Here is a 25,693-nt window from a genome sequence, read left to right on the forward strand (position 1 = left end):
TCTGTCACCCAGGCTGGAGTGCAGTGGCGCCGTCTTGACTCACTGCAACCTTTGCCTCCCGGGTTCAAACAATTCTCCTGCCACAGCCTCCTGAGTAGCTGGGATTACAGGTGCGCACCACCACACCTGGCTAATTTTTGTATTTTTAGTAGAGACGGGGTTTCACCATGTTGGTCAGGCTGGTCTCGAACTCCTGACCTCATGATCCACCCGCCTCGGCCTCCCAAAGTGCTGGGATTACAGGCGTGAGCCACTGCACCCGGTTATAATATACTTTTTATTATTATCTTAGAGTGTACTCCTACTTATAAAGAAATTTACTGTAAAACAGCCTCAGGCAGGTCCTTCAGGAGGTATTCCAGAGGAAGAATACCTTTGTTATCATAGGAGATGACAGTTCCATGCATGACAGCTCCTAGGGTACCCTGAAGACCTTCCAGTGACAAGGTGTGGAGGTAGAAGATGGTGATATTGATGATTTTGACCCTCTGTAGGCCTAGGCTAATGTGTTTGTGTCTTAATTTTTAACAAAAAAGTTTAAAAAGTAAAAATTTTAAAACAGAGAAAAAGCTTATAGAATAAGGATATAAAGAAAGAAAACTGGCCAGGCACACTGGCTCACACCTGTAACCGCAGCACTTTGAAAGGCCAAGGCGGGAGAATTGCTTAAGTCCAGGAGTTCAAGGACAACCTGGGCAACAAGCTAAGACCCCCTCATCGCTATTTAATACAATAAAAAGAAAATATTTTTATACAGCTATACAATGTGTTTGTGTTTTAAGCAAAGTGCTATTACAAAATGGTTGAAAATTTAAAAACTAAAAAGTTTATTATGAAGTAAAATGTTAGACTGGGCGTGGTGGCTCATGCCTGTAATCCCAGCACTTTGGGAGGCCAAGGTGTGTGGATTGCTTGAACCCAAGAGTTCGAGACCAGCTTGGGCAACATGGTGAAACCCCAACTCTACAAAAAATACAAAAATTAGCCAGGCATGGTGCTGGCTGTAATCCCAGCTACTCAGGAGCCTCCTGAGGCAGGGATCCTCCTGCCTCAGCAGGAGGATCACCTGAACCCAGGAGGCAGAGGTTGCAGTGAGCCAAGATTGAGCCACTGCACTCCAGCCTGGGCAACAGAGCCAGATCCCGTCTCAGAAAAAAAAAAAAAAAAAGTAAAGTTACAGTAAGCTAAGGTTAATTTATTATTGAAGAAAGAAGAGTATTTGCCTATGTCCATACCACCTTGACTGTAGCCAGTCTCTTCTGATCTCAGAAACTAAGCCAGGTCAGGCCTGGTTAGTACTTGGATAGGAGAATCCTAGGACTACTGAGTGCTGGAGTCTTTAAAGGAAAGAAGAGTGCTGCTTTATAAATTAAATTTTATATTAATAATAGTAATAAAAAATTATTATTATTAATAGTAATAATCTCTTGTTATTAATAATAGTAATAATGTATTGGTAGTAATAATAGTAATAATGTGTTGTTATTATTAAATGCTTTATTATAATATATAAAGTCACTCAACTCACCCAGAACAACTTCCAGTCCTGTGAGTTCCATTCACGGTAAGTGCCCCCTATACAGGTGTACCATTTTTTGTCTTTTATACTGTATTTTTACCGCACCTTTTCTAGTTTGGATACACAAATACCATTGCATCACAGTTGCCTACAGTATTCAGTACAGTAACATACTGTACAGGTATGTAACTATATCACGGAGCCCAGGTGTGTAGTAGTCTATACCATCTAGGCTTGTAAGTGTACCCTGTGATGTTCACACAATGACAAAATTGCCTAATAACTCATTTCTTAGAACATGTCCTCATCATTAAGCAACACATGACTGTATGCATACACACACACACACATATGTATGTATGTATGTATGTATGTATGTATGTATGAATGTATAATTTAAGGAGTCAATTAACCATAACAGGCAATTGACAGTAACAGTTAAGGCCATGGGACCTGGGGTCCTCGGTTTGGAATCCCCATTCCATCACTTACTGTGTGACCCTGAGGAATTTACTTAACCTCTCTAAGCCTTAGTTATAAGACCCAAGTTTAAGAAATACTACTCTTGGCCGGGCGCAGTGGCTCACGCCTGTAATCCCAGCACTTTGGGAGGCCGAGGTGGGTGGATCACCTAAGGCTGGGAGTTCGAGACCAGCCTGACCAACATGGAGAAACCCCATCTCTACTAAAAATACAAAATTAGCTGGGCGTGGTGGCTCCTGCCTGTAATCCCAGCTACTCAGGAGGCTGAGGCAGGAGAATTGCTTGAAACTGGGAGGCGGAGGTTGTAGTGAGCTGGGATCACTCCATTGCACTCCAGCCTGGGCAACAAGAGCGAAAAAAAACAAAAAAAAAAGAAAGAAAGAAATACTACCCTTAGGGCTGAGTGCGGTGGCTCACACCTGTAATCCCAGCACTTTGGGAGGCCGAGGCAGGCGGATCACAAGGTCAGGAGATCGAGACCATCCTGGCTAACACAGTGAAACCCAGTCCCTACTAAAAACACACACACAAAAAAAAATTAGCCGGGCGTGGTGGCGGGAGCCTGTAGTCCCAGCTACTCTGGAGGCTGAGGCAGGAGAATGGCATGAACCCCGGGAGGCAGAGCTTGTAGTGAGCCGAGATTGTGCCACTGCACTCCAGCCTGGGTGACACAGCGAGACTCTGTCTCAAAAAAAAAGAAAAAAAAGAAATACTATTCTTCAGTTTATTTACTTTGTTCATCAAATATTTAGTGAGATTCAATTATCTGTCAGTGCCTGGAGAATAAGGTGAACCAGGTCCCACCTCCATAGAAATCTAATGTGCAAACAGGATTTATGCACTCTAGGTACAGTCTAAGCCGGGTCTAGCTCATCGTCAAATAACCTTCAAATATCCAATACATATTTCCAATGAGACATGACTTTTGCGAGTGTTTTACTGGATCATAGTTGTCATGGAAATAGGAGTGAGTTAATATTAGTATTACCTAGCATATGGTAAAACTATGATTATGAAGAAGATGTTATTCATGCAATTGTTTAAATTGTTTAAATTTCTGTGAAATGAGCCTATGTCCTGGATCCCATTTTTTTTTTTTTTTTTTTTTTTTTTTGGAGACACAGTTTCGCTAGAGTGCATTGGCGTGATCTTGGCTCACTGCAACCTCCACCCCCCGGGTTCAAGCAATTCTCCTGCCTCAGCCTCCCGAGTAGCTGGGACTACAGGCACCCATCACAACGCCTGACTAACTTTTTGGATTTTTAGTAGAAACAGGGTTTCACCATATTGGCCAGGCTGGTCTCGAACTCCTGAACTCATGATCTGCCCGCCTCAGCCTCCCAAAGTGCTGGGATAACAGGTGTGAGCCACTGCACCCGGCAGATCCTGAATTTTTTTACATTTTTATTTATTTAATTGTAGGGAAAAACCTTGTTTTTAACAAAAGCATTTCCCCTTGACTGATTAAGTACCCATATAGTCAAAATACATGGGTACTTAATCCTGGGGATTTTGCCAGGCTTTAGCCATAGCGCTGGACCCAAAGTCTCACTATGCATTGTATGTTTACAATGCTACACTCAAAATAAAAAATACAAAAATAAGGAACAGAGCTGAATGTATAGCCACCTCAGGAGATACTTAAGATTGTTTTTATTTATTCCTTTTTAATAAACTTACAATGTGACTTTCTTAAGAGTGGCTTGCTTTACGAAATCAATACTCAGCAAATATTTGAGTATTTGATAAAAAATATACTAAATGCTAAAATGCAGACTTGGAAGTGGGGCGAATTTGAAGATTCCAAACAACTGGTTCCCAGTTAATAGAGGTTTTAGCTGGGCGCAGTGGTTCATGTCTGTAATCCCAACACTTTGGGAGGCCGAGGCAGGTGGTTCACCTGAGGTCAGGAGTTTGAAACCAGCCTGACCAACATGGTGAAACCCTGTCTCTACTAAAAATACAAAATTAGACGGGCGTGGTGGCAGGTGCCTGTAATCGCCCCCCCCAGAAAATGGAAACCCTTCTATCTTTGTGAAAATTATGTAAAAATGACTTCCTCTTGTTAGTGGAGCAGGCTGCCTGCCTCCCTCCTGCTGTGCAGAACTATGTCGGACTGTAGCCATGCAGGAGCCTTTTCTACCTAGTAACCAATAAATAAAAAATTAAAAAAAAAAACAAAACCCTTTGTCATTGGCCAGATCTCTATTTGGAAATAGGCATAAATTCACTAGCCTTACTTTAGCTACTGGAATTGCATCTTAGCAGAGAGAGAAGGAAAAGAACACAGCTTTTTAGAGCACATTATGCATCTAACTAGTGTGAACTTCACAGCAGACTAGTCATAGCAGATAAGTGAAGACGAAGAAAAAGTAGTACTTAATGACACAGCACATTTACCTCTTTAATTCACAGAAACGTCTGGTGTTGTCCTAGTTCATGTAGCCCAAAGTGGGCCAGGGGATAGATTTTAAAAAGCAACAACACTTTGGCTTGATATTTTGTTTAAAAACAATGTTAGCCAAGCGTGGTGGCTCACTCCTGTAATCACAGCACTTTGGGAGGCTGAGGTGGGAGGATCACTTGAGACCAGGAGTCAGGAGTTAGACACCAGCCTGGGCAATACAGTGAGACCCTGTCTCTACAAACAAACAAAAAAATTAATTTAAAAATTAGCAGGGTGTGGTGGCTCATTCCTGTGGTCCCAGCTACTTGGGAGGCTGAGGTGGGAGGACTGCTGGAGCCCAGGAGTTTGAGATTGCACTGAGCTATGATCTCACCACTGTACTGCAGCCTGGGTGATGAAGACAGACCTATCTGTAAAAAAGATAAAATAAAATACTTTGAAAAATAAAAAACAATGATGTGAGCTCATCCAGAGAAAGTTTGTAGAGAAAGCCCTTCAGGTGTCCTGTGTTGGCCAGCTCAGAATGAGGGAACTAGCACCAATACTTTGAATTTTCCTTCCTAGGGCTCCTTTTTAAGGCTTTCACAGCAGCTTTACTCATTTCATATTCATCTTCCCAAGAACCCTCTATTGGACTAGTAGGATTTATACAAGAAACTTGGCCATAGAGGGATTTAGTGACTTGTCCAAGGTCAAAGTGAGTTTTCAACTAGTCCAGGAATCAAGTCCAGGTTTCCAGCCCTACTGGCAGATCCCCCTTCACATACTGGAAAACATTCTTTCCTTCACCCATCCCTTGCCCTGTTCTATTCTCAGACTGTGTTGATGCCCACGCTGAAAATAGAATCTCCCTACCACTGCCAGAGCTCTTCTCGTCACTGCCGGGCAGTGGGAGAGTTATAAGAAGGTGGCAATGGCCCATTCGGGCTTATCTCCAGAACTGCCCCCAATTATGACTGCCAGATTTAGCAAAAACAATAATATGAGATAACCAGTTAAATTTGAAATTCAGATAAGCAAAGAAAATTTGTTTAGTATAAGTATGGCACATGCAATATTTGGGACATGGGACACACTTACACAAAACATTTGTAACTTATCTAAAATTCAGATTTAATGGGATGGGTTATGCCTGTAATCCCAGCACTTTGGGAGTCCGAGGCGGGTGGATCACCTGAGGTCAGGAGTTCGAGACCAGCCTGGCCAACATGGTGAAACCGTGTCTCTACTTAAAATACAAAAATTAGCTGGGCGTGGTAGTGCACACCTGTAATCCCAGCTACTGGGGAGGCTGAGGCAGGAGAATAGCTTGAACCAGGGTGACGGAGGTTGCAGTGAGCCGAGACAGTGCCACTGCTCTCCAGCCTGGGAGACACAGCAAGACTCCATCTCAAAAAAAAAAAAAAATGTAACGGGATGTCCTGTGTTGTGTCTGGCAATCCTGCCCCCATCCTTCCCCACATCTACCCTGGCACCCACACACAGGATTATCTCAAAGGTAACACCTTCACCCAGGACACAAGGAGCAACACACAGATGTCTTTCCTTCCAAAACCTAGGAAAGTTCTTTTCAACTCAATTATGCAAAATGATTCTGCAATGAATACCTCAGATAATTAGGCTCCTAGGTATTTTATAGACTTTTTTTTTAACTGCAATGATATTTATGGATTTTTTTCCAAATACAAAAGTAATATATATGTATTTCCAAAGATGGCTGCAACTATGTCTCCCATCCCACTTTTCCACAAAGTGACCAAGAGGTGGTATCTGTGTCCCTTTCCTCATAAATATGGACAGGTTTAAGACTTGTAGAAGTTCAAACTGAATATGGATGTCTTGAATATGGATAGGTTTGCGACTTGAAGTATGGACTGGCTTGTGACTTGCTGAAATTCAACTTCTATTGAGCTGTCATGAGAGTCCAACTACACCGAGGCCAGCATGCTGGTGGTAGGAAGCCAGGCTACATGGAAAAGCCACAGGTAGGGGCTTCAGAAGGCAGACCAGTCTTTTTTTTTTTTTTTTTGAGATGAAGTCTTGCTCTGTTCCCCAGGCTGGAGTGCCGTGGCACAATCTCAACTCACTGCAACCTCCACCTCTCAGGCTCAAGCAGTTCTTATGCGTCAGCCTTCTGAGTAGCTGGGACTACAGGCATCTGCCACCATGCCTGCCTGATTTTGGATTTTAGTAGAGAAGGGGTTTCACCATGTTGCCCAGGGTGGTCTTGAACTCCTAAGCTCAGGCGATTCGTCCACCTCGGCCTCCCAAAGAACTGGGATTACAGGCGATGTCAGAGATCCTATATATCTTTTTGTTGTGTTTTGTTTTTTTGAGACAGAGTTTCACTCTTGTTGTCCTCCCTGGCTGGAGTGCAAGGGTGCGATCTCAGCTCACTACAACTTCTGCCTCCCGGGTTCAAGCAATTCTCCTGCCTCACCCTCCCAAGTAGCTGGGATTACAGGCATGCACCACCACGCCCAGCTAATTTTGTAATTTTTTTTTTTTTTTTTGACATGGAGTCTTGCTCTGTCACCCAGGCTGAAGTACAGTAGCACAATCTCAGATCACTGCAACCTCTGCCTCCCGGATTCAAGCCATTCTCCTGCCTCAGCCTCCTGAGTAGTTAGGATTACAGGCGCCCGCCACCACGCCCATCTAATTTTTGTATTTTTAGTAGAAACAGGGTTTCACCATGTTGGCCAGGCTGGTCTCGAACTCCTGACTTCATGATCTGCCCGCCTCGACCTCCCAAAGTGCTGGGATTACAGGCATGAGCCACTGCATCCAGGCTAATTTTGTATCTTTTTTAGTAGAGACCAGGTTTCACCATATTGATCAGGCTGCTCTCGAACTCCCGACCTCCAGTGATCCACCCGCCTCAGCTTCCCAAAGTGCTGGGATTACATGCGTGAGCTGCTGCGCCTGGCATCAGACCAGCCTTTAATGTCCTCCTAGCCCAGGTGTCAGGCAGGTGAGCAAATTAGCCTTCTGATTATTCCAGCCTCCAGCTGTTTAGTCACTTCCCAGCTAAGATCTGAGACAGGATGAAGCAGAAACAAGCCATCCCCACTCTGACCTTCCAAATTCTTGATTCCAGAACTTGTTGACATAATAAAATAATTGTTCTTTTATGTCACTAAGTTTACAATGGTTTATAATGCAGCAATAATAACTAGAACATAAAACCTGCTTGTTGCAGAAACTTCAAAAAAGAACATAATCGCCTGTAATTCTATATGCAAAGGCAATTGCTTTTAACAGTTTGAGCTATGTGCTTCCAATATTTTTCTATGGCCATATGGACACATTTTTCTACTTAAGCAAGCACAGTATCATAGAACAGGTACCATTCTATGCTCTGATTTTTTACCTTGACAACATTAATTGAAAAATCAGCCAGGTGCCATGGTTCACGCCCGTAATCCCAGCACTTTGGGAGGCTAAGGCAGACGAATCAATAGAGCCCAGGAGTTCCAGACCAGCCTGGGCAACATGGTGAAACCCCATCTCTACCAAAAATAAGAAAATTAGGTGGGCTAGTGGCACATGCCTGTAGTTCCAGTTACTCGGGAGGCCGAAGCAGGAGGATCCCTTGAGCCTGGGAGATCCAGGCTGCAGTGAGCCATGATTGTGCCACTGCACTCCAGACTGGGAGACAGAGTGTGACCCTTTCTCAAAAAAAAAGAAAAGAAAAATCTTTCCATTTTATTGAACAATAGTGTCTTTGACAATAATAACTGAAATAGCTATTACTAAGAATTTACCTGTTTCTTTCTTTCTTTTTTTTTTTTTTTTTTGAGACAGGGTCTCACTCTGTCATCCAGGATGGAGTGCAGTGGCAAGAGCTCAGTTCACTGCAGCCTCTACCTCCTGGTTTCAAGCAACCCTTGTGCCTCAGCCTCATGAGTAGCTGAGATTACAGACGCACATCACCACACCCAACTGATTTTTGTGTTTTTAGTAGAGAAGGGGATTTACCATGTTTGCTCAGGCCGGTTTCGAACTCCTGAGTTCAAGTGATCCACCTGCCTCAGCCTCCCAAAGTGCTAGGATTACAGGCATGAGCCACAGCACCCGGCCTGTATTTAACTTGTTTCTAATTGTTTATTATTATAAAGACAACTGCAATAATAATCCTTACATATGCATCTTTGCATTCAGATGAAAATATAAAGAAAATATTTTTTCCTTAAGATAAACTCCTAGAAATGGAATTCCTGATCAAAAGTCTTGCATAATTTGTAAGGCTTTTGATACATATAAACTTTCCTCCAAAAACAGCTCTGCTTTTTATTAACAGGTTAAATTATTTTATGCTGCCAACAATAGTGCATGATTGCTTATGTTTTCACATTCTCACTAGCAAGAGATATAATGATCATTTTAAATTTTGGCCAGGCACGGTGGCTCATGCCTGTAATCCCAGCACTTTGAGAGGCCCAGGAGGGCGGATCATTTTAGGTCAGGAATTTGAAACCAGCCTGGCCAACACTGTGAAACCCCATCTCTACTAAATATACAAAATAATTAGCTGGGTGTGGGTGGTGCATGCCTGTAATCCCAGCTACTTGGGAGGCTGAGGCAGGAGAACTGCTTGAACCCAGGAGGTGGAGGTTGCAGTGAGCCGAGATAGCGCCACTGCACTCCAGCCTCAGCAACAGAGCAAGACTCTGTCTCAAAAAAAATAAATAAATAAAATAAAAAATAAATTTCACCAATTTCATGAACAAAAATGACAATTCAGCTGGACACAGTGGCTCACACCTATAATCCCAACACTTTGAGAGGCCAAGGCAGCAGGATGGCTTGGGCCCAGGAGTTTACAACCAGCCTGGGCAAGATGGTGAGACCCTCACTCCAGCCTGGGTGACAGCCTGACTCCATCTCAAAAAAAAAAAGATAGACCCAGTCTCCAAAAAAAAAAAGAAAGACAATTCACTGTTACCAGAGTAAACACTGCTTACCTGTTTATTAGCCATTTTTGTTCCTTTTTTAGCATGAATTGCCTCATCTTGTCCTTTGCCCATTTCTGTTGGAAGAGTTATCATCTCTTAGTGATTTTTAAAAGCAATTTCATTATTAATTATACCAATCCTTTCATATATGTAGAAAAAATGTTTGAGTTGGTCATCTGTCTTTTATTGAAGATGCATTTCAAATATCAAATATATTTGAAAGATAAAATAGCATCTGTGAAATTGAATATTATTTTATGTGCGCTTGGCTATGCCCTAAAATGTCAGTTTATTATCCCTAAAGACGTATTTATTGATGTTTACCAAGAATAGAAGTTGGCTGGGCACAATGGCTCACGCCTGCAATCCCAGCGCTTTGGGAGGCCGAGGCGGGTGGATCACCTGAGGTCAGGAGTTCAAGACCAGTCTTGCCAACATGGTGAAACCCCCTCTATACTAAAAATACAAAAAATTAGCTGGGCGTGGTGGCAGCCACCTGTAATCCCACCTACTCGTGAGACTGAGGCAGGAGAATCACTTGAACTCGAGTGGCAGAGGCTGCAGTGAGCTAAGACCATGCCACTGTACTCCAGCCCGGCCAACACAGCAAGACCTCCTCTCAAAAAAAAAAAAAAAGAGGATAGGAAAAGAGGCCAGGTGCAGTGGCTCACGCCTGTAATCCCAGCACTTTGGGAGGCTGAGACAGGAGGATTGCTTGGGTCTAGGAGTTCAAGACCAGCCTAGGCAACATAGTGAGACCCTGTCTCTATATTTAAAATATATATATAGAAGAAGAAATCAAACACAAAAGAAGTGGAGACAAGCAAAAAAAAGTACACACATTGAAACCAACTCTAGGGGCCGGGCATTGTGGCTCACACTTGTAATCCCAGGACTTTGGGTAGCTGAGGTGGGCAGATCACAAGGTCAGGAGTTCGAGACCAGCCTGACCAACATGGTGAAACCCCATCTCTACTAAAAATACAAAAATTAGCCGGTGTGGTGGCACACACCTGCAGTCCCAGCTACTCAGGAGGCTGAGGCAGGAGAATGGCATGAACCCGGGAGGCGGAGCCTACAATGAGCCGAGATCGCACCACTGCACTCCAGCCTGGGCGACAGAGCGAGACTTTGTCTCAAAAAAAAAAAAAAAAAGAAAAGAAAAGAAACCAAGTGTAGCACTCTAGCTGAAACAAAAAAGGAAGTGGTGAAGGGTGCAGACTTTAATAATAATAATAACAATTTTATTATATTATATATTGCAAAATATTATAATTGTTATATTTATGTTATAAATAGAATGTATTATAATATTTACATTTATATTATAGATATGATATATAGTCATTGTATTTAAAATAGTATATGTATTAAATATATTATTATATTTAATATAATAATTATAATAACTAACCTTTATTCAGCATTTTACTATGCACTTTATATGCATTTTGTCATATAGTTCTCCCAGTAACCCTTTAGAAGCTACTATTAATATTTCCAACTTATAATTGAGGAAGTGAGGCCTAACAGAGGTCCAATGACTAGTAAATGCTATCGTTGGAGGCCTGGTCTCATACCTCAGCCTGAATTCTCAAACACTAAACATTACCTCCTCCCCTGGACAACTTGCCCAGCTTCTGCAAATCTCACTTTCCGTACTTGGTCTTTTGAATATGAAATGACATCATGCACATGTGGTGTTTACACAGGCCTAGCATACAATAAATACACCCTCAACAAAGGCATGGCATCACCCTGATCATCTTCATCATCACCGCCTGGCCTCTAACACACCTCAAGAGCTGCCCCAGCATATCAGTGCACCGTTCTATACCAGCAGACATTTTTTCCTAATCATGCCTCACCATGAAATTTTAATACTACGGATATACCATGTATCTCTGTATGTACTGTGGCTCTTTGGAAGCCACAAACCATTGTAATATCTGTTGAAATAAATATCTGTGATTTTTTTGTCCCTTCTCTCCCCAGAATTAATTCCCACCTCTTAGTAATGATGTTCCCCCTTCACCCTCTCAAATCTCCCTCCTGAGAAGGCTTGGTCTATGTTACCTGGAAATCCTCTGATGAGCCTGTCTTCCATGTCAAGACCCACACCCTAATGTGGTTCCTCTATACAATATTGCCAAGGCAAGCCACAAGCAGATGCAGGACCATCCACTTAAAACCCAGCCTCAATTCAGACATGTAAAAGCTCCACAAAAACAAATACACAAATTAAGGCAAATATATTGATCACCTATTTTTTTAGTTCACTTTTTTTTTTTTTTTTTTTGAGACGAGGGGATCACCCTGTCACCCAGGCTGATGTACAGTTGTGTGATCTTGGCTCACTGAAGCCTCCACCTCTTGGGCTCAAGTGAGTCTCTCACCTCAGCCTCCTGAGTAGCTGGGCCTACAGGTGTGCACCACCATGCTACAGGCACATGCCACCATGCCTGGCTAATTTTGTAGAGATGGAGTTTCACCATGTTGCCCAGGCTGGTGTTGAACTCTGGGGCTCAAGCAATCATCCCGCTTCAGCCTCTCAAAGTGCTGGGATTACAGGCTTGAACCACCACACCCAGACTTTCCTTCACTGTTAAAGAGAAAAGAATTATTACTGATGCCAGGCAAGGTGGCTCATGGCTATAGTCTCAGCTACTCCAGAAGCTAAGATGAGAGTATTACTTGAGCCCAGGAGTTACAGCCCAGCCTGGGAAACACAATGAGACTCCATCACTGATTATTATTATTATTATTATTATTGAGACAGAGTCTTGTTCTGTTGCTAGGCTGGAGTGCAGTAGTGCAATCTCGGCTCACTGCAACCTCCACCTCCCGGGTTCAAGAGATTCTCCTGCCTCAGCCTCCCAAGTAGCTGAGACTACTGGCACGCACCACCATACCCAGCTAATTTTTGTATTTTGGTAGAGACAAGGTTTCACCATGTTGGCCAGGATGGTCTCAATCTCTTGACCTCGTGATCCACCCGCATCGGCCTCCCAAAGTGCTGGGATTACAGGCATAAGCCACTGTGCCCAGCCCCGTCACTGATAATTTTTGAAAAGTTGAGCCTGGTCAAATTATCTTGTCTGGGTTAAATCGACATGACCTTCCATGAGTTTAACACACCATTATATGATATATAATCAATCTAATTATGAAAACTGATTAAGAAGTGATGCTACATAATAGCTTAGAGTTATTAAACCATTGACCAATGAGTCTTCTGCATTCCCTGCAAGACCACAAATTTTTCAGCATTCTACATTTTGTTTTAAAGAATCTAATTTTCTGCTCAAGGTCAGAAAAATCCTGTGTTCATTAACTGGGATGGAGTAGGTCTTTGCTGAGTATTAAGAAATAAAAATGATCATTTAGCAGCTAGGAAAGAGGATAATCCATTGCTGAAAATAGTGCCCTCAATCAGCTTGGAAGGTTCACTATGGAAGAAAATGTACCCAGGCAAACATCCAGTGACTTACCACCTCGCCAGAATAGTCCTCCTCCTGATGTGTGTTTTGGACTCCATTCTTTTTATACCAAACACAGCCCTGCCTCACCCTCAAATTCTTTCTAGTAAATTATGCTTTGGTAGCATGACTTCAATCTACAACAAGGAAATATTAAAAGAACCACATGGCATTCATATTTATCATAAGAATGTTGTAGAGGATGTTGGTCACTGCACAATACGATGTCTCCTACTAGACAGTAGAAATTATCTTTGGTTTCAGCCCCAGGGATAGTTGTACTTCCCCTTAGCAGCCTGTTTATTTTTAGATACACACCATGAACCATAGATTCTTGGCATTTGCAGATTTGATCTTTGCATGTTCAGCTATTCAAAAGAGACATGTCAGTTGCTTAACTCACAACCACTGTAAAGCCAGGATGTGATATGAAACTCTTGCTAATGAGTGAACCTGACATCTCAGTGCACGTTAGGACAGCTTTGCTGTTCATCAACACGTGCTGAGGGACTGTCACTGTTCTTCGCCACACTGTCCTGTCTGATTCCACCATCCTCCTCGGGCTGGTTGCTAAAAAGCTCAAAGAGAGTTTTATGCCCCGCTTCTGACTGTATATTCTGGGCTCTAACCTCATCCTTCGTAACGATTCCATCCCAATGCAAATAAGTTAGAGTTTCTAGGTGCCCTTCCCAAGGGCCCAGTGGTCTGCACAGTGTCACTTCACCCTGAACAAGGTCACCTGGGAGCTGGGCTCAGCAACAGGACAAAACTGAGCGTCTCACCCCTGCTCAGAGCCACCTCACGAACAGAAATGTTCGCTTCATGGGAAGAGCTCCGTCTTGGTGGAAGAGAGAGATGAGGGATGAGGGAAAATAGGAGGAAGTGAAATACTCGCCTTTCTCCCACACTAGGAAAAGGGGTCACTTTCCTGGCAAATGAGGGAGAGGGCCAACTCCAAACATCGAGATTTGAGAATTACTTCTGGGCGTGTCCAGCAGAGGGCGCTCTGGTATAAGTAGAAAGAACAGCAGAGTCAGCCACTCCTGGGGAAAATCCGGAGGTTTAGGTTGGTTGCCTCGCTAGCTCCAGAACTGGTATACAGGGGCTTGAGACAAGAATGGAAGCCCGAAGGAATTCAAAGGTATGCTTACATAGGAGGAGATAGCGTGCAATTGCCCAGAGAAATCCTTGCAGCTTCAACAGCCCTTCCCAACAAGCCACCCCTTAGAACAGTCACCAAAAATACGTAAAATATTGCCAGCTATGAAGAATTCTTTTAGGCGGCGCCGTGACGCGCCTCGGGAACGGTCCTCGGCGCGCGCCGCTCTCTTACCCTCGGGCCTCAGAAGTCGGTGCCAGTGACCGGAGGCGACAGCGGCAGCGAGTGGGTCCTTGTGAGCTAGAAGAATCCTGCAAAAATGTCTCTCTATCCATCTCTTGAAGACTTGAAGGAAGACAATGTAACTCAGGCTCAAACTGCTTTTTCTGCAAACCCTGCCAACCCAGCAATTTTGTCAGAAGCTGCTGCTCCCATCTCTCAAGATGGAAATCTCTATCCCAAACTATATCCGGAGCTCTCTCAATAATACATGGGCCTGAGTTGAAATGAAGAAGAAATACGTGCAAATGTGGCCGTGGTTTCTGGTGCATCAATTCAGAGGTAGTTGGTAGCAAGATCTTCCGGTATGATCTGTATGGTGGTTCCTGTAACTGAAAATGATGCTGGAATTCGTAGAGCAGAAATTAAACAAGGGATTCGCGAAGTCATTTTGTGTAAGGATCAAGATGGAAAAATTGGACTCAGGCTTAAATCAATAGATAATGATATATTTGTTCAGCTAGTCCAGGCTAATTCTCCAGCCTCATTGGTTGGTCTGAGATTTGGGGACCAAGTACTCCAGATCAGTGGTGAAAACTGCCGGGTGGAGCTCTGATAAAGCGCACAAGGTGCTCAAACAGGCTTTTGGAGAGAAGATTACCATGACATGACAATTCGTGACAGGCCCTTTGAACGGACGATTACCAAGCATAAGGATAGCACTGGACATGTTGGTTTTATCTTTAAAAATGGAAAAATAGGCCGGGCACGGTGGCTCATGCCTGTAATCCCAGCACTTTGGGAAGCCGAGGCAGGTGGATCACGAGGTCAGGAGTTCAAGACCAGCCTGACCAACATGGTGAAACCCCCGTCTCTACTAAAAATACAAAAATTAGCCGGGCATGGTGGCGGGAGCCTGTAATCTCAGCTACTCAGGAGGCTGAGGCAGGAGAATCACTTGAACCCGGAAGGCGGAGTTTGCAGTGACCCGAGATCAGGCCACTGTTCTCCAGCCTGGGCAACAGAGTGAGACTGCGTCTCAAAAAAAAAAAAAAAAAAATTAGCCGAGCATGGTGGCAGGTGCCTGGCTACTTGGGAGGCTGAGGCAGGAGAATCGCTCGAACCCGAGAGTGGAGGTTGCAGTGAGCTAAGATCGCACTATTGCACTCTAGCCTGGGTGACAAGAGCAAGACTCCATCTCAAAAAAAAAAAAAAAAGAAAGAAAGAAAAGAAAAAAGGAAAAATAACGTCCACAGTGATCCACAGTGAAAAACAGCTCTGCAGCCAGAAATGGTCTTCTCACGGAACATAACATCTATGAAATCAACAGACAGAATGTCACTGGATTGAAGAACTCTCAAATTGCAGACATACTGTCAACATATGGGACTGTAGTTACTATTACAATCATGCCTCCTTTTATCTTTGAACTTTTTTTTTTTTTTTGTAGGCAGAGTCCCACTCTGTCACCCAGGCTAGAGTGCAATGCTGCAATCTCGGCTCACTGCAACCTCTGCCTCCCAGGTTCAAGCGATTCTTCTGCCTCAGCCCCCCAAGTAGCTGAGATTACAGGCATCTGCCATCACGCCCAGCTAATTTTTGTATTTTTAGTAGAGACAGGGTTTCACCATATTGCCCAGGCTGGTCTCGAACTCCTGACCTTGTGATCTGCCCACCTCGGCCTCCCAAAGTGCTGGGATTACAGGCGTGAGCCACCGCACCCAGCCGTGAGCATATTATTAAGCGGATGGCACCAAGCATTATGAAAAGCCTAATGGATCACACCATTCCTGAGGTTTAAAATTCACGGCACCACGGAAATGTAGCTCCAGTTTCCTTCTTTGGCAACTTCTGTATTATGCACATGAAGCTTTCCTGGAGCCAGCAAGCATATGCATGAGGACCTTTCTATCTTACATTATGGCTGGGAATCTTACTGTTTCATGTGATACCTTGTTCAGATTTCAAAATAGTTGTAGACTTATCCTGGTTTAACAGATGTGAAATTTTCAAGAGATTACTGACATTCCTAGAATAGTTTCTCTACTGGAAACCTGATGCTTTTATAAGCCATTGTGATTAGGATGACTGATACAGGCTTAGCTTTGCATGAGAACCAGTACCTTTCTCCTAGGTAGTGAGTAGTGCTATTCATATTACTTTAGTTCTATAGCATACTTCCATTTTTAACATGCTACCATAGTACATTTAGAATGATTGCCTTTGAGGTCGGGTGTGGTGGCTCACGCCTGTCATCCCAGCACTTTGGGAGGCCAAGGCGGGGGGGAACACCTGAGGTCAGGAGTTCAAGATCTGCCTGGCCAACATGGTGTAACCCTGTCTGTACTAAAAATACAAAAATTAGCCAGGCGTGGTGGTGCGTGCCTGTAATCCCAGCTACTTGGGAGGCTGAGGCAGGAGAATCACTTGAACCCAGGATGCAGAGGCTGCAGTGAGCCGAGATCGCACCACTGCACTCCAGCCTGGGCAACAGACTGGAGTTTTTTTGAGACTCCATCTCAAAAAAAAAAAAAAAAGTTGCCAGTACCACTTTGTGAGAAGCAAATCACTATATATTTAATGTAAAAATTATTACCCTAAACCAGGATAAACTTTTGACTCCTCTTTTGTTCATTTGTGGATTAAGTGGTATAATACTTAATTATGGTATTTGATTCTTAAGATTATGTAACCTAGCTACTTTGGGATGAACTTAGAGTATTTTTCTGGTAATTTGTTTCATATCCTGACTCCTTTTGCAAACAAAATGGTAGTGATGCTTTATCCCGATTTTTTTCTTCTTTTTGGTTTATACCTATTCTATTTTAATTAAATATGTATACATAAAAATTTTTTTAAAGAATTATTTTATAAATAATTTTCCCCAACATGTCCCATTATACCATCCTTCCATACTTCAGGCATTCACTTAATAAGCTCATTTTAAGGCCGGGTGTGGTGGCTTATGCCTGTAATCCCAACACTTTGAGAGGCCGAGGCAGGCAGATCACCTGAGGTTGGGAGTTCGAGACCACCCTGACCAACGTGGAGAAACCCCGTCTCTACTAAAAATACAAAATTAGCTGGGTATGGTGGCCTGTAATCCCAGCTGCTCTGGAGGCTGAGACAGGAGAATCGCTTGAACCCAGGAGGCACAGGTTGCGGTGAGCTGGAGATCGCGCCATTGCACTCCAGCTTGGGTAACAACAGCTAAACTCCGTCTCAAAAAAAAAAAAAAAAAAAAAAGATGGTCCTGATGTCACATCCCATAGGCACACGACCTCACAGCCTTCTCTGTCACTCCTAGGTCTCTTAGGCTACACATTTTTCCTCAGCAAAACCACTAGTTATCAGCCCCCTTTGAATATTAATAATAGTAATTTTCAGATGGCCTTAAATGAATGTCTAATACCTTTGTGCTGAAAGCCAAGCCTATTGATAGGAAAATGCTGAACATCTGTTTTCTACAAATCCTGTAGGTGGCACCCGTGTACTGGTTTCAACTGAAAGAACGCGTTGACCTTTCAGGAATCATACTAGGCACAGATGCATCTTACATAATGACTCCTTTTATTCTAAGTAAGAGAGAAAGAATATAGCCTCACTCCCTATGCCTTCATCTAAAAATTCTCCCCTTAACAAGACTTGTATCCATCTGGAGCAGACCTAACCCATGCCACCGCAGAAGTGCCAGCTCCCAGGCACCTCTCTAAGGCCAAAAAGCCATGTGACCTTGAGCAGGCTCTCTTACGGTCCCTGCTTTCTCATCTAGAAAATAAGAAGGGTGGCCGGGCGCGGTGGCTCACACCTGTAATCCCAGCACTTTGGGAGGCCGTGGCGGGCGGATCACGAGGTCAGGAGATCGAGACATCCTGGCTAACACAGTGAAACCCCGTCCCTACTAAAAATACAAAAAAAAATTAGCCAGGCGTGGTGGCGGGTGCCTGTAGTCCCAGCTACTCAGGAGGCTGAGGCAGGAGAATGGCGTGAACCTGGGAGGCAGAGAGCTTGCAGTGAGCCGAGATCGCGCCACTGCACTACAGACTGGGCGATAGAGCAAGGCTCCATCTCAAAAAAATAATAAGAATAAATAAATAATAATAAGGGTGAGGTCAGGCACGGCGGCTCACGCCTGTAATCCCAGCACTTTGGGAGGCCAAGGCGGGTGGATCTCTTGAGGTCAGGAGTTTGAGACCAGCCAGGGCAATGTGGCAAAACCCAGTCTCTGCTAAAAATGCAAAAAAAAAATTAGCCAGGCATAGTGGCGTGCGCCTGTAATCCCAGCTACTCAGGAGGCTGAGGCGTGAGAATTGCTTGAACCTGGGTTGAGGAGGCTGCACTGAGCCGAGATCATGCCACTGCACTCCAGCCTGGGTGACAGAGCAAGAATCTAATAATAATAATAAAGTCCCCTCTAATTCATAAATGTTACTTTGTTCTCCCCCAAAAGGAATCCTGAATGATCCCTTAGTAAAAGGAAAGAATTTGTGAAATCAGAGTTGAAAGGGACTATGAGGGGAATCCAGCTCAAAAAGCCATTCTGCTCTTGGAAATTTTCTGCCATATCTCTCCCAGAAAATTGTGACTCCAGGAGTCATCAGTCCATTACATCACACAACAACCCATACTGTGTGGGCTTCCAAGCCTCGGCCCTAATCCTACACCCTCAGGTAAGCCTTACCCCTGCTCCAAGGGCCACTTTCTATATTCACACACTCAAGCACACACACACCCAGTTTGTCTTTGTCCCTTTAAACTCTACTACCTAGAAGTGAGTGAAACGCTTCAGGTAAAGTTTAACTAAAGTGGAGTAGAACAGAACCGTCAACTTCCTTGTTCAAAATATGTACTTTTATTTCAAATTATTAGTAAGCTCCTAAACAACTCAAACCAACTAAAACCGCTTCAGCTACATGATCCAATACGGTAGCCACCAATCACATGTGATTATTGGGCACTGACTATATGGCCAATGCAACTGAGAAATTGAATTTTTAGGGTTTTGTTTTGTTTTGTTTTGTTTTGGGGGGGAAATGGAGTTTCACTCTTGTTGCCCAGGCTGGAGTGCAGTGGCACAATCTCGGCTCACTGCAACCTCTGCCTCCCGAGTTCAAGTGCTTCTCCTGCCTCAGCCTCCTGAGTAGTTGGGATTACAGATGTGCACCACCACGCCCAGCTAAAGTTTTTTGTATTTTTAGTAGAGACGGGGTTTCACCATGTTGGCCAAGCTGGTCTCAAATGCTTGACCTCAGGCGATCCACCCACCTCGGCCTCCCGAAATGCTGGGATTACAGGCGTGAGCCACCACGCCCAGCCAAATTTTTAGTTTTATATCATTTAAATGTAAAAAACAGACTCAATTCAATTCCTAAATATATATGTCAGAGACAAGGTCTCTTCTTTATCTGTGGAGAAGATAAAAAATAATAATAATAATTTTTCAAAATAAAAAGAGGCAAGGCACAGTGGCTCAAGCCTGTAATCCTAGCACTTTGGGAAGCCAAGGCAGATGAATTGCATGAGACCAGCCTAAACAACATGGCTAAACCCCATCTCTACAAAAACAAAAACGAAAAAAAATTTTTTATTAGCCAAGCATGGTGGCACACACCTGTAGTCCCAGCTACTTGCAAGGCTGAGGTGGGAGGATCACCTGAGCTTAGGAGGCAGAGGTTTAGTGAGCCGAGGCTAAATCACTGCACTCCAGCCTCAGCAATAGAGTGAGACTCTATCCCAAAAACAAAAAACAAAAACAAAAACGAAAAACAGAGAGAGAAGGTCTCACTCTGTCACCTACGCTAGTCTCAAACTCCTGGCCTCAAGTGATCCTCCTGCCTCAGCCTCCAAAAGGGCTGGGATTTGCATGAGCCACCACACCTAGCTGAAAATCTTTTAATTTTTTTTTTTTTTTTTTTTAGACACAAAATCTGGCTATGTTGCCCAGAGCAGCCTCAAACTTGCTGGGTTCAAGCAATCCTCCTACCTCAGCCTCCCAAGTAGCTGGGACTGTAGGTGCACACCAATGTGCCTGTTTTTCTGTGTGTGTGTGGTTGTATTTTTTTTGAGACAGCGTCTTACCCTATTGCCCAGGCTGGTCTTGAACTCCTGGGATCAAGCAATCCACCTGTCTCAGCCTCCCAAATTGCTGGGATTACAGGTATGAGCCACTGACCTCAACCTTAAATTTAGCTTTTGAATGGAGATATGCTGTACATATAAAATATACACTGGATTTCAAAAACCTTATATAAAAATGTAAATATATCAATAATTTATACATGTTCAACATGTAATCAGTATGAGTATTTTGGATATATTTAGTTCAGTAAAAATATATTATTATAATTAATTTCATCTGCTTCTTTTCTTTTTTTTTTTAAGGAATCTACTAGAAAATGCAAAATTTATGCATGGCTTGTATTCTTTTTCTATCAGATCATGCTGCTCCAAATTATTCAAATTAGCTGCCAGTCTGTGAGTCTTTCTCATGCAAATTTGTCCAGTTGGGTTTTCAGAGTCCATTGTAGAATCTTATACTATTTCCTTTACATTTCTATTTCTTAGATCTCACCTATCATTCTAGCCAGGCAATATGATCTGATCTTTCAGAATTATGATGCCATACATTTACAACCCCCTTCAACTTCATGTTATTTACAATTTGATAAGTAGACTTTATTTATATTCATCCAAGTCTTTGATTAAAATGTTGACAAGAGCCGGGTGCAGTGGGTCATGCCTGTAATCCCAGCATTTTAGAAGGCTGAGGCAGGCAGATCACCTGGGATCAAGAGTTCGAGAACAGCCTGGCAAACATGGCAAAAACCCATCTCTACTAAAAATACAAAAATTAGCCAGTTGAGATGGGATGTCCCTGTAATCCCAGCTACTTGGGAGGCTGAGGCAGGATAATCATTTGAACCTAGGAGGTGGAGTTTGCAGTGAGCCAAGACCGCACCACTACACTCCAGCCTGGGCAACACAGCAATATTCTGTCTCAAAAAAAATGAAATAAAAAATAAAAAATGGTGACAAGGCCAGGAATGGTGGTCTGTGCTTGCAATCCCAGCACTTTGGAGGCCAAGGCGAGTATATCACTTGAGCCCTGGAGTTTGACACCAGCCTGGACAACATGGCAAAACCGCATCTCTACTAAAAAATACAAAAATTAATCAAGACCATCCTGGCTAACACGGTGAAACCCTGTCTCTACCAAAAATACAAAAAATTAGCCAGGCATGGTGGCAGGCGCCTGTAGTCCCAGCTACTAGGGAGGCTGAGGCGGGAGAATGGTGTGAACCTGGGAGGCGGAGCTTGCAGTGAGCTGAGATGGCACCAGTGCACTCTAGCCTGGGCGACAGAGTGAGACTCCGTCTCAAAAAAAAAAAAAAAAATTAGCTGGGCATGATGGCATGCACCTGTAGTACTAGCTACTCTAGAGGCTAAGGTGGGAGGATCACTTGAGCCTGGGAGACAGTGAGCTGAGATCTCACCAGTGCACTCCAGCCTGGGTGACAGAGTGAGACCCTGTCTCAAAAAATAAAATAAAATGGTGACAAAGTCAAGGGTAAAGACATTACTATAAATCATTTTTCATGTTAAAAGTGAGCCATTTATTAAGGATTATTCTGTTGGATTTTTTGTGGGTTTTTGTTTGTTTGTTTGTTTTGAAATGGTCTTACTCTGTCGACCAAGCTGCAGTGCAGTGGTGTGATCTTAGCTCCCTGCAGCCTTGACCTCCCCAGGCTCAGGTGGTCCTCCCTTCTCAGCCTCCCAAGTAGCTGGGACTACAGGCACGCACCACCATGTCCAGCTACCTTTTGTATTTTTTGTAGAAACTGGATTTTGCCATGTTGCCCAGGCTGGTCTCGAACTCCTGAGCTAAAGCAGTCCTCCAGCCTTGGCCTCCCAAAGTGTTAGGATTACAGGCGTGAGCCACCGCACCTAGCCCTACGTTCCATTTTCAAAACACTTAAATTGTTAAGGAATCCTTCCTTGTGTTAAGTGGAAATCTGCCTCCTTACAACTTCGACTCTGGTCTTATTTCTACCCTCTGAGTTCAACCTAATTCTTCTTTCACATAATAGTTATGTATCTAGGCCGTAAGTGCCACCTTAATTCCATTCACATCCAGACTATCCCTGACACTTTCCTTCTTCATTTGGCATGGTTTTCAATCTCTTCGCCACCCTGGATGCCCATCTCCAACACACTCTAATGAGCTCATCAATGTCCTTCCAAAAAATGCAGACCCGGTACTGAGCACAGGATTCCTGCGATGCATGGCCTCTTTTCTTCCTGAAACTATACTTCCTCTAACATAGTATAATGATGTGAGGCAGTCACATTACACTGTTGACACATTCAGAACTTGCCATCTACTAAAATGCATAGATGATTTCATGAATTGATATTTACTACATATGTACCACCAGCCATCTATGACAGGCAATGCCACTCAATGTGTCACATTGTTCCCTGTGTTAAGTCATGTTTAGCCTAAAGCTGGTTCCTTGTGTATTTTAAGTTCGGCCTAAAGGTATCTCCATACATAGTGAACTGTAACCTCACTTGATGTGTAAACAGACTATAACACACTGTTGTGCCAGTCACTGAGTTTGGGCCAATCACAGGCTGCCAGCTGTTCAAACCGTTTTCAAATAAGGCAAACACTGAGCTGTAACCAATCTGGCTGTATCTATACCTCACTTCCGTTTTCTGTAGGACATTTTCCTTTTTCTGTCCATAAAATCCACCATATGGCTGCACTGGATTTTCTGAGCCTACTCTGGCTCGGGAGGCTGCCTAACTTGATATCGGTTGTTTCTCAGTTAAACTGTGTTCAACTTAATTTGTTTAAGGTTTTTCCTTTTTTTTTTTTTTTTTTTTTTTTTGAGACGGAGTCTTGCTCTGTCACCCAGACTGGAGTGCAATGGTGCTGTCTTGGCTCACTGCAACCTCTGCCACCTGGATTGAAGCGATTCTTCTGCCTCAGCCTCCAAAGTAGCTGGGATTATAGGCATGAGCCACCACACCCAACTAATTTTTGTATTTTTAGTAGAGACGAGGTTTCACCGTGTTGGCCAGGCTGGTCTCGAATTCCTAACCTCAGGTGATCTGCCCGCTTCAGCCTCCCAAAGTGCTGGGATTACAGGCATGAGTCACCATGCCCAGCCTAGGTTTTTCTTTTAACACTCAAAAGTTAGAAGTATTCTCAGGTTCCTTCTCAACACAATCTTCAATCAGCCACTGACAGCTGACACACAGATAAAGCCTATTTGACACCTAAGTGCCAAGTTATTAATATTTCTACCCCCCCATACTTCTGCAGCTGATTTTTTTCTGACAAATCAAGGGCCTTGACATTTATCCTCGATTGCATTTAGTAATACTTGATTTGGCCCATCAAGTCCACTTTTATTTTTTATTGTCTGCACGACATAGTGCTTAACAGAACATCTATGACTCGGCTCAAATGTTTCCCTTCTTCATCTTAGTTTGCTTTTATTATTGCTCCCTAATGGTTACTGGACACTATCTATTTTATCATTTGATGTATTTATTGAATGAAGTTTTATGTTCTCTACTAAAAATACAAAAATTAGCCGGGTGTAGTGGCACACGCCTGTAATCCCAGCTACTCAGGGGGCTGAGGGAGGAGAATTGCTTGAACCCGGGAGGCGGACATTGCGGTGAGCTGAGATTGTGCCATTGCACTCCAGCCTGGGCGACAAGAGAGAAACTCCTTCTCAAAAAAAAAAAAAGAGGGCGGGCGCAGTGTATCATGCCTGTAATCCCAGCACTTTGGGAGGCTGAGGCGGGCAGATCACGAGGTCAGGAGATCGAGACCAGCGTGGCTAACACGGTGAAACCCCGTCTCTACTAAAAATACAAAAAATTAACCGGGCGTGGTGGTGGCCGCCTGTAGTCCCAGCTACTTGGGAGGCTGACGCAGGAGAATTGCTTGAACCTAGGAGCCAGAGGTCACAGTGAGCCGAGATCGGGCCACTGCCCTCCAGCCTGGGTGACAGAACAAGACTTCATCTCAAAAAAAAAGAAAGAAAGAAGAGGCCATTAGGGCATTAGGGCTAGGGAAGAGGACCTGAATCCTTCAACAGCATAAACTGGTACAAGCTTTAGTTCTCCCCTGTGGGTCTATGGGATGCACAGCTGGAGGAGTACTGAAAGGACTGTTCTGTTTTTGAACTTCTACACCACAGTCTACACACACAATAGGCAAAGACAAACAAAGAATCACAATATCTTATCCGCAGGTACCCATAAAATTGACAACTGAGGCTCAATGTTCAGTAATGTGGTTCTTCTTAGAAGCAAACAAGATCTTTTGGGAAAGTTGTATTTCAGCTCCCTGGCAAGGGGAAAGTCTTTGGTCCTTGAAGAAGTGTTTCAATCAAATGTTATCCTACTGGCTAAATATATAGATTTTTACATACCTAGCTGAACTTCAGTATTATACGACTCCCTCACAAAGATCTGAATGTGTAAGCAGATGTGAGTCACCAAGCACCCTAGCTTACCCACAGACATGCAAACCTAGGAAACAGAATATTGCTCTAGAAAACATTTTAGGAAACAGAATATGATTTACATAACTCCTTCATCTCTCCTGTCCTTTATCCAGCCACCGTATTATTGGGGACATGATACTCTGCTAGACAGTCTATACTCTAATTGAAATTACCCAAAGACAACAGTGTGATGAAGTGGTTTGAGCATAGAAGCTGCAAGGAGAGATCCATTTTCCAATCCAACTAGGAGGTTAATGATTATATGTCACTTTGGAAAATCATCACCTCTTTGTTGAAATGAAAACTAAAGTCCAAATGCATGTTGCTTTGTGTTGGGTCAGACCCTCTAACCTTTAGGAAGAGAGGTCAAGGCCTCCTTCCCTCCTGTATTCCCAACCCTACAGAGAAGTTCTGATAAAGGACAAAATCCTGTCTACCAGATGCATAATTTAGTAACATTACTGGAGGGTAGAACTTTCTATGGGAGCAGAAACAGTGCTCAAAAGGCCCTGCCACCCAATAAAACAAGTGCAAGAAAGAGGGGCTTTAGGGACCCTTCAGCTTGTGAGGTGCTCTCACCTCTAACAGGCCCAGCAGGACCCCCGCGGGGCCCAGGTTAGAGGAAGCAAGCCCAGAACCAACGGATTCCAGCTGTTTCTTCTCTGGGCCTTGAGACAGGAGGAAGAAAGTCTGAGGTTTCCATGCTGTCCCCCAAAGCTTCTCAGTAGGAGAAACCTGACAGGGGTTTGGGACAAGTTTTTAACAGGAATTAAAAAGAAGAATATTGCCTACAGGCACCAACATCTCAGTAGAAGCTGAGAAAGGGGCTTGGACTGTGGGAGTACAGAAACCCATCTTCCAAAATGAGGGCCAATCTGGAACCAGTGGTCCACTGCAGTGAAAGGTAGCATCCTGGAGTGGGGTGGGCTGCTTTCCCATCTCGGTTCGGCTTTGCACCAGCTGTGTGACCTTGAGCCTCAGCTCCCTCATCTGTAAAATT

General features: G+C 43.6%; 2 pseudogenes, besides 3 other annotated features; both read left to right on the forward strand.

Moving 5' to 3' along the window:
• Positions 1,222-1,339, forward strand: RNA5SP270 (RNA, 5S ribosomal pseudogene 270; annotated as a pseudogene).
• Positions 13,953-14,002: an enhancer, noted in NCBI's record as "active region_27502". NCBI's record gives its function as "activates an Ori minimal core promoter by ATAC-STARR-seq in GM12878 lymphoblastoid cells {active_cell/tissue: GM12878}" and the evidence as "EXISTENCE:reporter gene assay evidence [ECO:0000049][PMID:35858748]".
• Positions 14,013-14,062: an enhancer, noted in NCBI's record as "active region_27503". NCBI's record gives its function as "activates an Ori minimal core promoter by ATAC-STARR-seq in GM12878 lymphoblastoid cells {active_cell/tissue: GM12878}" and the evidence as "EXISTENCE:reporter gene assay evidence [ECO:0000049][PMID:35858748]".
• Positions 14,126-15,603, forward strand: SDCBPP2 (syndecan binding protein pseudogene 2; annotated as a pseudogene).
• Positions 18,049-18,629: an enhancer, noted in NCBI's record as "H3K4me1 hESC enhancer chr8:70858967-70859547 (GRCh37/hg19 assembly coordinates)". NCBI's record gives its function as "activates a minimal SCP1, AML or CMV promoter by ChIP-STARR-seq in naive H9 embryonic stem cells {active_cell/tissue: H9 hESC(naive)}" and the evidence as "EXISTENCE:reporter gene assay evidence [ECO:0000049][PMID:30033119]".

Source organism: Homo sapiens, chromosome 8 (assembly GCF_000001405.40).
Source record: "Homo sapiens chromosome 8, GRCh38.p14 Primary Assembly".
Lineage (NCBI taxonomy): Eukaryota > Metazoa > Chordata > Mammalia > Primates > Hominidae > Homo > Homo sapiens.